This window comes from Homo sapiens, chromosome 1, assembly GCF_000001405.40.
Source record: "Homo sapiens chromosome 1, GRCh38.p14 Primary Assembly".
Lineage (NCBI taxonomy): Eukaryota > Metazoa > Chordata > Mammalia > Primates > Hominidae > Homo > Homo sapiens.
The window spans coordinates 54,801,976-54,814,745 of record NC_000001.11 but is presented as its reverse complement, the minus strand read 5'-3'; the positions used below and the strand labels follow the sequence as shown (position 1 = coordinate 54,814,745).

The following is a 12,770-nucleotide window of genomic DNA, read 5'->3' as shown; positions in this document are numbered from 1 at the left end:
GACCCATGCCACCCACTCTAACAAACACCCATCACAGCCTGATGCCTCTTTTCAGGTGTCCAAGGGCCTTCATTGTCTGGTGGGGCCCAGACAGCTGAAGACCCCATTTCTGAGGAAGGAGACCACACCAGACTTGGAGCCAGATGAGCTGGGTTCCAATCCCAGCCCCGTCTCACCCTTGCTGGAGAAACTTGGTAAATCCCTTTCCAGATCTGGGCTTCGGTTTCCTTTAGTGAAATGCAGATGATAATCCCTACCTCAGGAAGGCTGGAAAGTGCCTAGCGGGGGCAGACCGTGCTTTGGGGGCCTGCTCAGACCCCCAGAGGGCCTGCTTTGACACTAGGGCCGAGTGCACCACTCCCTTGGGCGGAGCAAGTGGGCAGGTCCCAGTGGGTAGACTGCACTCTGCCCTGCTCCAGTTTCCCCTGCCCATCCTCCAACGCTCTGAGGCCAGAGGAGGGAGGTGCAGGGGGAAGGTCGGCACTGGCTGGGCGCTTCCTGGGTACCAGGCACCATGCTGTAGGCTCCGAGTACAGGGCCTCATCTAATTTCCCACAACCACTTCACCATCTTCATAGGACAGGGGTATAAACCGACGCCCAAAGTCTCACCTAAAGTGTCCCAATGTTCCAGACCAGGATTGGAAACCAAGTCAGTCTGATCCCAAGACTGAGCTATTCCCTATGAAATTAGCCACCCTACCCCATGCCCAGCCCCGGAAGGAGAGCTGCCCTCCGAGAGAGGAAGGCCGGCCATAGGAGTGAACTCACCAGTGTGCGGGGGCACTGGCTGAGGTTGGCCCAGTAAATCCTCTCTGTAGGGGTTTTCGGGTTTCGGGGAAGTTTAGAAAAAACCCCATGCTTCTTATTGTGATGTGAGTTAAGTTCTTCTACAAAGCTCTTGAAATTCATCAGTTCCCTGGGCTTTTTTTTCTAAGAAAAAGAGAGAAAAAGGAATCTGCTATGCCAGGAAAATCAAGAGCTCCTTTCTCAACCCTCCCCCGCAACCAGAGAAAAGCAATGGGGCATCACTTACTATCCTGCTGTGCAGACATCCCGGAGGCCGGAGGCCGGGCCAGCCTCAAGGCCCCCCTGACAAGGGCTGGTGGAAACAGACAGTCTTTCCCCAACCAGCGGGTCGGGGCGGGGTTAGTCTCTTGCACCATGCACCTGCCACACCCTACTGCCCAGCTCCTTTTCATCCATTTCTTCTTTCTTTCATTTGTTGGACATGTATTGAGTCTGGCACTATTCTAAGCAGGAACGATGTCTTAAATATTTAAAACCAGAGTGACTGGAGGAGCACAGAGGATTTGGACGGCAGTGAAACTATTCTGTATGATACTAAAATGGTGGCTGCATGTCACGCATTTGGCCAAACCCACAGGATGTACACCACCTGAGTGAACCCTAAGGTACGCCACAGACTTGTGGTGATAATGACGTATCAGTTCTTCAACTGCAGCAAACAGACCAGGCTGCTGTGGGATGTTGGTGGTCGGGGAGGCTGTGCATGGTGTGGAGAGGGCAGTGGGTATATGGGAACTCCTTGTACTTTCCACTCAATTTTGCTGTGAACCTGAAACTGATCTAAAAAAAAAAAAAGTCTCACAAACAAAAGCAAACAGCGTGGCCTGGGCGCTGGCCAGCCAGAATGGGCACTGGCCACAGTGCCTGAGGAGGGTCCCTTGACCCCTGCCATAGCTGGTCATGGGGAGGTCTGGGGGGCTCCAGGGAGCAGCCAGGTCGAAGGCCTCAGCTCAGTGGCTACCTGCCAGCTGGTCCTGAGGTCCTTCTACGTTAACCACCACCCTCCTCAGCACTCCTGAGCTCTGCCGTAGCACTCATTGCCTGCTCACACTCGATAATTTTTTTCTTATTCATTGATGACTGAGTTTCTTTCCCCACTAGAATGTAAGTTCCGCAAGGGCTGCTTTCCCCTGTACCTCACCTACTACCTGGCTTAATCACACCCACCGCGAGAATGCATAATGGAGACAACATAAACAGGCAATTAGACAAAACCTAATTCCAGTGGCTATGAGCACAAAGCAAGCAAAATGCAGCAAGCTGTGAGATACCAAGACAAAATTCTACCTCAAGTTCCCCTCCTGGGCCTCCTGTTCTCTGCTTTGTTAACAGCGCTGGCCCTAACCCAGCCAGCTTGGTCTATAATGCCTGCTGTTTCCAAAATAGGAGGATGCTCCCACCTTCTGCCATCAAGGTTCCTCATGGCCAAGCTCCCCTGGCACTGTGGGCCATCTTCACCTCCTGGGCACTTCATGCCAGTGCAGAGGAGAGAGTTGGCAGTGAAGTCAGACAGACGTCCTTGGGTTCAAATCCCAGCTCTGCTCCTTCCAGCCATGTGGCCAGCCTCAGTTTTCCCTACCTAACATGGGAAACCGGATCCAGCCCTGGCTGTGAGGGTGAAGTGAGGGGGTGTGGGAAAGGCCCGGTGCAGAGCCTGGCACACAGGCTGGTGTTCCTGGTGCTGACTAGTGAGGCCTGTCATCCTGCTGGGGCATGGACTAACACCCTTCAACCCCTGGGTACACACCTGCATGGAGTAGTGCCCATAAGGCAGTGGCTTGCTCCGATCACCAGAGAAAGTGTCATAGGGGCCGCGGGTGCCGACGGATCGTGCCACATATGTCTCAAGGTCGCTTTTGAAGAAGTAGGTGCCGGGTCCCAGACCACTCCCCTAGAGCACAGCAGAGGTGATGAGGCCTGCAGGAGAGCTCAGCTTCCCCCTCTGCCCTGGGAGTGCCCCTGCAGGACGGGAAGGCAGGCAAGGCCTGGCCAGCCGAGGGGGTACCTGATGAGGCCGGGGGTGTGGCTTGTTGCTCATCCTGCACATGAGGCCCTCGGAATGAGACCGGTTCCAGGCATTCTCCTCCAGCTTGGTGTATGGGTTACCCTTCTCCCCATAATTTCCAGGGCCTGGATAGTAGTTCTGTGGGGCGGGGGTGGGGGCATGGAGGCTGTCAGAACCACTCCTTGTGCTGAGTGTGCCTGAGGAACAGACACCTGAGATTGCCATCCCCAAGAAGGGAATGGGATTTTCAGGGTGTCCGCTTGCTACCTGCCCTCTGACACACAACATTGTTGCCCGTGAGCGTCCACCACTGCTCACACCTTCATCTCCAAGTTCAGCCTCTTCCCCAGCTGAACTTGGATTGGCCTGTGCAAGTTATATCTCACTGCCTCCTCCTTACATTGCACACTTTGGCCAACATAATGGGCTTCTTGCTGCTCCTCAAGCACATGTCATTCTGCCCAACCTTCTTCCCTCATTGGCTCATGCTGTAACCACCACCGGGAATGCCCTTCCTGCCCTCTTTGCCTTGGACAATTCTACTGCTCCTGCAAAGCCAGCTCACATGTCATCTCTCCTGGGAATGAAGCCTTCCTCCTGCTTCCACCTGAGACAGTTGCCTGCTTTGGTGGATTTGGCAATTCCAACCTTTACACCCCTGCACCACAGCCCTGCGTGACATGAGGGCTTTCTCAATGTGCTGTGAACAGTGCTGTGACAGGGAAGGACTGCCGTTCTGGGTTCAGATCCTGGCTCTGCTGCCTCCTAGCTGAGTGACCTCAGGCCTTCTGTGTCGCATGGTCCATACTGGTACCATGGGATAGGAATACTGTCTTCCAGGTAATGACGATGAAGTTAAATAATGTCTGCAAGCAAGGGAAGGAGGTTGGGTGGAATGGCACGTGCTTGGGGAGCAGCGAGGAGCCCACCATGTCAGAGTGTGGGATGCAGGGAAGAGGCAGTGAGACAGAGCATGGACGGGCCAGTAGGGCCCTGGAGAAGAGGCTGAACTTGGAAGTGAAGGTGCGAGCAGTAGTGGAGGCTCACAGGCAACGGTGTCTGGCACAGAGTGGACACTGGCACATGAGAAGTCAGGGTGGGGTGGCTGAATGCCTTGCGGGGCAGGAGGAAAGGTTAGCAACTGGTTGGAATGACCATCTGGGACCTGGGCTGCCAGGGTCAGAAGCGTGATTTTGTAGGCAGAGTGAAAAGTGCAGTCCACATTGGGTAGAGACCTGGCAGGACGTTTTCTGCTGCTCTGCACCTTTTAGCCATGCGGGGTCACTGCTGCTCCATAGATGGCTCAGCCATGCCCTACCTCTGAGCCTGGAACCCGGCCCTGGGGAAGCAGGATGGGGCGGGAAGGGCAGGGACCTCTGCGTGGGGAGTCAGGCCACTAAGGGCATCAGATTTGTTCGCTCCCAGAGGAATGGAACTACATGTCTCCTTCCAGGGTTCCCACGTACATTCTGGAGAAAGCCCCCAAGGATAGCTGGATCCCTGCATGGTGTGTTAGGTGCTTCACCAGCCTTAACATCTTGGTCCTGGCAGTGACTGGGGGAGACCAAGTCAGCACCATCCACAATTAACAGATGGGGAAACTGAGTCTCAGAGAGGCAAACTGCATGTCTGAGGTCCCACCGCCAGAAAGAGACAGCATGAGAGTTTCAACTCCAAAATCCACAACCTTTCTGAGCCTCTACTGTTTGCCAGGCTCTGTGGAAGGCACCGGGGTGGGTTGGCAGTGAGCACCACAGGACCTGGGAGACTTTGAAGATGAGGGTTATACCAAGGGTGAGAATGGCCCTGCTCCTGGAGCCCAGAGGCAAGCCCAGCGCTGGGCACTTTCTCAGGATAATCCTATTTTCTTCCTTAAAACCTTCAGGTTCAGAGGTTCAGTACCACACTTGGGCTGATGGGAAAGCCTACGGTTTTAACTAGAATGTTACGTTGTCTGAGCTTTGGGGACTCAAACAGGAATGATTAATTGGAGAGGGGGAGTGTGGAAATGAATGAATCATCACTTTTAAGTTTTTGGTTTTAGGGGTTTTTTTTTCAGGCTGGACTTTGAAAAGGATCCCCAAAGACAGGTACGAGGGAAGGTGGGAAGGCCCCCCAGTGAAAAAGAGCAAAGGCAGGAAGGAAACAGAGTCAGGCTTGTCCCCCTAGCTCCCCTGCCATCAGCTTGGCTGAGTTCCCACACCCAGGCCTTGGTCTCCACAGAGACTCAGGGAGCAAAGTCCAAGAACTATGGGGGCCAAACCTGTGGGTGAAATGCAAGGTACATGTTGGACACCTGGGATTCAAAAGCCTACTTCTGCCAGTTGGTAGCTTCATGACCTTGGGCAGTAAGTTACTCACTCTGTACTCCATTTTTCTCATCTGTAGAATGGACATAATGATAGTGCCTGCTTCATAGGGTTGTCATGAACATGAAATTAATTAGTACATGGTAAGTGCTATGCTACATGTCCACTATTATTACTTTAGATTGGACGGTAATGACATTTTTAAATGCTCCAGGTATCCCCTCTCCCTAAGGTACAGTTACAGCTTCTGCACCTGAAGGTGCATCTGCTCATCCCCAGACCCTGTCAGGAGTAATTTCCAGCCCTCACAGAAGCATTCCCAGTGGTGAGGTGTAGGAGAAAGACCCTGGCTCTGGGGTTGGACATTCCCATGTCTGCATCCCAGCTTGCCCACTTAGCAGCTGTGCACTCTGGGGCAACTTGCTTATCTGCTCTGAGCCTCCAGGGCCTCATCTGGAGTGATTGCAAAGAATTAGAATGTTTTGGAGCACCTGATACTTAGGATGCATGCACTTATTCAGTCCACAAATACTTATTGCGTGCCTATGTGTGCCAGGCACTGCAAGAACCTCAGAGTGCTGCAGTGAAGGAACCAGGCAGACGTGGTCCGCCCTCAGGGGCTGCTGTCCAGTCACACACAAGAAGAAGAGGCTGCCAAGGGAGGAAGGGCATTCCTAGCAGAGGGAACAGCAGGGGCAAAGCCCCATGTGAAAGAGCATGGCCTATATGAGGGGCTGGGAGGATAACAGAGTATCCAGCACAGAGAGGTCCAGGCCAACAAACTGCTGTGCTGGCTCCCTTGGTAGGGGGTGACTCCTGCTTTCTCCCTCGTGCCCTTACTGAGTGTCAGCCTCACTCAGTGTCCTCCTGATGAGATCATCATCCCCTGGCGCTGCCACCCCCACCTCTCAGCACCATCGCCTCCTCCCAACCCTGGCCCTCTCGAAGGTCTTCCTCTAAAAAGGTAAGTTAGGTCCTCTTCCTGTCAAAGCCCTCCACTGCCCTCCCCCGGCAGCACCTGGAATAACACCAAGGCCCCACCTTGGCTGCAGGGCCCTCATGACCCAGCCCTTCACCCCTCTGCCCTCTCGCTCGCCTCCTCTCACCCTCGGCCAGTGCCCTCTGGCCACACTGGCCTCCTGCCTGCCGGTCTGATTTGACAAGCATGTTCCCACCTCAAGGCCTTAGCCTCTGCTGCTTCCAATGCCTGGAATGCTGTACCAGACATTGCAAGTCTCCGTTGCTCACGACCTGTAGGTTTCCTCAAATGTCACCTCCTCCCAGAGCCCTGACTACTCTCTATCAATTGCACCACCATCACTGCCTGTCCCTTGCCTGTCTAATTTGTGTTCATAGCCCTGCTTATATACGTATTATATTTCCTTCTTTGTACTACTATTTCTACCACTAGGACATCTACTTCATGAGAGCAGGGACATTGTCTTCGTCACTGCTAGATCCCCAAGGTCTAGGACAGTGTATGCCACTTAGGAGGTGCTTAATCCTTATTCCTGGCTGGCTGGCTGGATGGATATGTAAGTGAATGAATTTGTTGGGCACCCAGTGTATGCCAGGCTCTCTGCTTGGGACTCCAGACATGAGAACACCTACCCCAGTGAGTCCTCGGAAGCGAACCTCCCCAGAGCTGAGCAGCCCCCGGGTGCTACATGGTTTCTCCCGCAGCTGTTCTAAGAAGTCTTTGAGGTTGTAGGAGCCGGGGCCCAGCTTTTGCTCCTGTGCCAAGAGAAGAGAGAAAATGAAAGCCTTAAACTTGGGAAAATCCACGCAGGAAGAAGCCCAAGGCACGATGGTGTTCCTTAAAGGATAATCTCCATCTGGCCTTGGGAGGACACTGAAGGCCACACAGAGCAGCTGCAATGGACAGGAAGACCTGGCACCAGAGAGGGAGAGGCATGGCCCCAGAGGCCTCACCTTCAGCCGCTTCTCTTTCATGATGGCCTGGTACTGGAAGTGGGGTAGCTGGGTCAGCCGCGTGGCTTCCTGGGCCTTGGCCCAGCCTGTGTCCACCTCCTTCATCAGCTTCTTCTTGCTGAAGCAGGTCTCTTTGGAGCTGTAAGTCCCAGGGCCTATGTGGGACTGAGTCAGAGTGTGGTCAGAGCTGTGACAGCCACGCCCGCCCAGTCTACCCACAGAGCAGGCCCTCACCAAGCCACCACCCTGACCCGGAGGAAGGGAGTAGGCAATCCCCCTGTGGCTCCCACCCTCAGCACTAAGGCTGGCACCAACAGGCTTGGCACTCAAGGTGCAATCGTGACATCCTCTATCACTGCCCCCTCACACTGCAGGAAGGTATAACAACTCCTTCAAGAGCCCAGAGGTAGTCAGTGCACAAGCTGGGAGTGCTGCAGTCCCTCGTTTATCAAACACACTGGAAGCCCCCACTGTGGGTCCAGCTCTGTGCTGGAAGAAGGTAGAAAGTACGCCCCTTCTACAGCTCAGCTCATCCACCACAGCAGGCAGCTCGAAGGGGCAGTGGCCAGACCCTGTGGGAGGAGTCAGGGAAGCTGTGCAAACTCACCACTTGGGTAGAATAACGCGTGGAGTATGGGGCCTCAGTGAAGGTGCTGAACTTCTTCCAGTTGGGATAAACAGCAGAGATGTCAAACCTAGGGAGGGACGGTGGCCCAGTGAGAGCCCTGTGCCTGGCACCTGGCCCTGGCGTGGGCAGTTCTGGAGCATGGGGGAGTTGGCTGCCCGGGAAGGTGACTTTGGAGCAAGCTCATGAAAGAAAAGTAGTGGAGTTGCAGTGGCTTTGAATGTTCCAGGCTGCTCCCACCCCACCCCACCCCACCCACCAGCTCCTCCTCCCAGCTTCATTTTTCTCCACAGTCCTTACCAATACCCAAGGTTTTACAGATGTACATACTTTTGTTTATTACCCACCCCCACCCCCCACAGAAGAGAGCAAACTCCATGAGTACAGGGGTTTGCTGTTGTGTTCACTGCTGTAGCCCCAGATCCTAGAACTGTGCCTGGAACACAGTAGGTGAGAGAGAGAAAGAGACAGAGTGGAATATGAGTGAATGGAAGACAGACACCTGGGCTGAAATCCCACCCACCACTTTTGAGCTGAGTGGCCTACTATGGACCAGGCCATGTGACCTCTCTAAACCTGGCACATAGTAAGTGCTCTTGAAATGGTTTTAAAGAACTCACTTAGATGGTAAAAGAACCCTGGGCAGGGAAGAGCACTAAGCAAGAGGGGGAGAGAAAGCCCAGCCCCTCCTCACTGCCGGCCCCCACTCCTCTGGTTCCCCTCCCCGCCAGGCTCAGCCCTGTGTGTAGGTGGACACCCTCTCTCCCGAGGCCAAGCGTGGCTTCGGGGTGGGCAGCAGCTGCTTTGGACCGTGGGCGTGAGCCCAGGACGCAAACGGGCCCCACCTGTGGCTCTGCACCCCGAAGGGCGCCCCGGTGAACCACTTGGTGGCCGTGGAGCCGACGCGGTTCCAGCCATGAGCTCCGGCGGCATCCTGGCTTTCCCTCATGGCAGGCCTGCGCGCTGCCCGCCTCCGCTGCTGCCACGGCAACCCGGGCCTTGTGATGCGCCCCGGAGCTGTGGGCCTCGCCCTCGCCCACGTGGCGCCCCCACCGGCGTGCGCACGTAGCCCGCTGATTTTTAACTTGTCCGTGCACATTTTCAGGGTCCTTCCCTGGCCCCTGCAGATGTAATGGCCCTTCTTGTATTTAATATGGATGCCATTGGGTGGGGTCTTACAGTCATTTGTTGAGGAAGTGTTTCTGATTTCTGGCTTTATCCCAGAGCCCTGCATGGAGCCTGCCTAGGCTCAGAAAGAACCTTTTAAAGTTCACCTTGTGCTGATGGGAAACTGAGGCCCACAGAGAGGGCCGCCTTGGGCAAATGACATCCCAGCTCCTTCTCCACTTTGGGAGTCAGGGGAGCAGAAGTAAGGGGGAAAGGGCAAGGAGAGCCAGAGGGTGGAGGGCTGGGCAAAGCTGCAGGGGTAGTCAGGACTCAACCGGCCCCTAGACGTCCCTGGCACCCACTCTGGGCAGACACAGTGCAGAATGACTGGGACCCAGATGTGGTCCCTGCCCTGAAAATAATGGGGGAAGCAATGACCACATACTATGGTCAGGTCTATGAGAGAGGGAGGCCTCTGACCCAGCCTGTGGGTAGGTAGGTCAGGGAAGACTTCTTGGAGGAGAATTCCAAACTCAACATTGAAGCATATGGATGACTTTCCAAGTAAAGAAAGGAATTGAGGGTATGTACCCCACACAGGGCATAGTCAGCTCTCTCTTCCCTCCTTCTTTACCCCCCAACCAGTGCTCCACAGCCATGCTCTGAGATTGTCTAATTTCTCTCACGATGGCTTGTGATCTTCCCAAGGATCTTAGGCAAAGGTGGGGCAGAGATCCATACCCCATTCCATGGTGACAGGATTGAAGCCAGAGAGGCGTAGGTTGTACCAGAGGCCCTGCTTCCAGCCCATGGTGAACCTGGACCAGAGGCACAGTGGGTCTTCTGCCAGGCCCCACCCAGTGCCCTTCTGACATCCCAAGCTGGTAGTTAGATAAGAAGTGTGGCTCCCCAGCACAGCTGAGAGCTGGACCCTTAGGCTCCAGGCCTGGCGGGCCACTGCTGGCAGAGCGTCTGCGCTGCACCACTGAGCTGATGGTCAGAGGTGGCAGGCCTCAGGAACATGCACAGAACGGAAAGCCTGGGTCATCTAAGCAGACTCTGCCCTTCCCAGCCGTGGGATCTTGAGCAAGTCACTTCTTTCTCTGAGTCACAGCATTATCAGTTTCATTCTATAAAATGAAAGTAATCGTCTCTATCTCCCAGGCTGCTGTGAGGATGAAATGACCTGATTTAGGTAATACTCTTGGCACACAGCAGGAGCTCAATTGGAGGTCATTCCCAGCCCTTGGTTAGAGACCTTTACAGAGGCCTGAGGACAGACACTTGTCTCATTTCCTCCTGGTGCAGCATCTAGCACATAGTAAATGTTCAGGAAATATTTGTTGAATGACAAGGGAATGAATACATGCATCTGGTCAAACTACCCAATAACACATAAATCCTCAAAGACACATTTAAATCTGGCTCTGCCACTTCCTGGGTGCTGACCTTGGGCAAGTTACCCTTGCCAACTTTGATTTCCTCTTCTGTGACATGGACCTATGACTGTGGCTTCCTGGAAAGGCTGTTTTGAGGTGTCAACAAGGTGTGGATGTGCACACTCTCCAGTCCTGTGCACTTCAGCCAGCCCTGGGTCTGCTTGGGTATTCTCAGGGTGGCCCAGACATGCCTGCAGCTATATTGCTGCTTCTCTTCTGGCCTGAGCCCCATGGCTCTAGGACTCATGGAGGAGTGACCAAAGGCTATAAGCCAAGGTCCACTGGGCTGGGAGTCGTGGCTGCCAGGAAAGCCAGAACAGGCCAAATGAGTCAGCTCTGCAGCAAGGCCGCCTGCCCTGGTCAGCCCAAAGTTTCCCATCACAGCAGCTTCCTTGTCTAGCATCTCACCCATTTTCTTTTATAGGCACCATTGCACCCTCATTGTACACAAGAGGAAACTAAGGCTCAGATGGGGAGAATAACTTGCCCTGGTCACATCTCGTGAGGCATAGGGTCACACCATGAATATGGGACTCATAAGCACATTGGAGAGCTCCCTGGCTGCAAGACTGTTTAACCCGTCCAGACTCCAGAGCCACTGTTGTGTCAGTGGAGTCAAGTCAAGCTTCTCAGTCAGGACTTGGGCCTCTGTGATAGGGCTGTGGCCCCTGCCTTCAGTCCTCATCTCCTGCCATCTCTGCCCCATGCTCTGTAACCTCCAGCCACAAGGCTGCTCTGTCCCTAGGACACACCCTCCCCTGGAGAACCTCTAGCTTTTTCATACCTTTGCTGCTGATGATATGCGCTCCCCACCAACCTACCCTTCCCACCCAACTCTCTTACTCATCTTTTTCAGAGTCAAATCAAAAGCCAAACCCACCCATTAGGATGGCTATTATCTTAAAAAAAAAAATAGAAAATAACATACGTTGGTGAGGTTGTAGAGAAACTGGAACCTTTGGCCATTGCTGGTGGGAAAGTAAAATAGTCCAGCTGCTGTGGAAAACAGTCTGGCAGTTTTTCAAAGAATTAAACATAGAATTACCATATGATCCAGCAATTTCACTGCTGGGCATATACCCAGAAGAATTAAAGGCAGGAACTCAAACATGTATTTGTATGCCCACGTTCATAGCAGCATTGTTCACAATAATCAAAAGGTAGAAGCAACACAAGTATGCATTGACAGATACATGGATAAACAAAATGTGATATATTCATACAATGGAATATTATTCAGCCTTTAAAAGGAAGGAAATTCTAACACGTGCTACCACATGGATGAATCTTGAAGACATGCTAAGGGAGATAAGCCAGTCGCAAAACAACAAATATTATATGATTCCACTTATGTAAGGTAACTAGAATAGTTGAATTCACTGAAACAGAAATAGAATGGTGGGTACCAGGTGCTGGGTGGGGAGAGAATGAGGAGTTATTGTTTAATGGGTATGGAGCTTCCATTTGGGAAGATGAAGTTCTGGAGATGGAAGGTAGGAACAGTGGTATAGCAGTGCCCTCAGGGACAAGGACGAGGCCAGGGGAGCATTCATGCACTTAATGCCACTGAACTGTACACTTGAAAATGGTTAACACTGTAAATTTTTTGTTAAGTATACGTTGTTGCAATTTTTTTTTCTTTGAGACGGAGTTCTTTGCTCTTGTTGCCCAGGCTGGAGTGCAGTGGCACAATCTCGGCTCACCGCAACCTCCGCCTCCCGGGTTCAAGCGATTCTCCTGCCTCAGCCTCTCGAGTAGCTGGGATTACAGGCATATGCCACCATGCCCAGCAAATTTTGTATTTTTAGTAGAGACGGGGTTTCTCCATGTTGGTCAAGCTGGTCTCAAATTCCCGACCTCAGGTGATCCGCCCACCTCGACCTCCCAAAGTGCTGGGATTACAGGTGTGAGCCACCGCTCCTGGCCCGCAATTTTTTTTTCAAAGCCAAACCCTCTGTGAATCCACCCCTGATACTCTCAAGCAGGTGAGAGAACGAGTTTTATCACAGGATCACCAGCAATTTATAGCAAAATTTTCAATTAAAAATTATTAAAATTAATTTTATATTTAAAAATTGACAGGTGAAACATGGCACCAGGATGTTGTTTTAATTTAACTATTTTTTTTTTTTTTTGCTAATGTCAAATATTTTTTCAAGTTTACTAATTGGCTTTATTTCCTCTTTTGAAATGCTGGTCTGTGTTGCTTCATCTTGAAATACATAGATATTTCATCTATATGAAATATAAATATTTACATCTATATCTTCATAGATAGTCTATCTAGATTTCATCTAGATATATATTTCATCTGTCTGTCAAGATGAAACAACAGGGATGGCAGGAGCCAGGCCCAGGTGGAAAGAAGAGCGGGAGGAACTGGCCCCTGCAGCAGGGAGCACTGCCACCCAGCCTCCAGGCTAGAGGTTAGGGGACCACTCTAGACCTGGGAGGGACATTTGCCAAAGCAAGAAAACTGGGACCACAGGTGGAGTGCAAGATGGGATGGGAACCAAGCTGGAGGAGTGGGAGCTGACATTTATC

At 52.6% G+C, this 12,770-nt stretch overlaps 1 protein-coding gene across 5 annotated transcripts in view, besides 2 other annotated features; it reads right to left on the bottom strand.

Annotated features, from left to right (window-relative positions):
- The window catches only part of CIMAP2 (ciliary microtubule associated protein 2), a 36,190-nt gene extending 27,507 nt beyond the window's left edge, over positions 1–8,683 (bottom strand). For all 5 annotated transcript variants that reach the window (XR_001737006.1, NM_152607.3, NM_001110533.2 and 2 more), the window contains exons 1-7: positions 8,526–8,683; positions 7,663–7,750; positions 7,056–7,220; positions 6,735–6,857; positions 2,815–2,952; positions 2,557–2,700; positions 771–932 (exon numbers count right to left, since the gene is read on the bottom strand). Coding sequence is in view for 4 of the 5 variants with exons in the window: in NM_152607.3 (NP_689820.2) it covers positions 771–932; positions 2,557–2,700; positions 2,815–2,952; positions 6,735–6,857; positions 7,056–7,220; positions 7,663–7,750; positions 8,526–8,629 (924 nt within the window). In the remaining variant the exon portion in view is untranslated. The remainder of the gene's footprint in view (positions 1–770; positions 933–2,556; positions 2,701–2,814; positions 2,953–6,734; positions 6,858–7,055; positions 7,221–7,662; positions 7,751–8,525) is intronic.
- Positions 2,173–2,672: an enhancer, noted in NCBI's record as "H3K4me1 hESC enhancer chr1:55277747-55278246 (GRCh37/hg19 assembly coordinates)". NCBI's record gives its function as "activates a minimal SCP1, AML or CMV promoter by ChIP-STARR-seq in primed H9 embryonic stem cells {active_cell/tissue: H9 hESC(primed)}" and the evidence as "EXISTENCE:reporter gene assay evidence [ECO:0000049][PMID:30033119]".
- Positions 9,655–9,864: an enhancer, noted in NCBI's record as "active region_1067". NCBI's record gives its function as "activates an Ori minimal core promoter by ATAC-STARR-seq in GM12878 lymphoblastoid cells {active_cell/tissue: GM12878}" and the evidence as "EXISTENCE:reporter gene assay evidence [ECO:0000049][PMID:35858748]".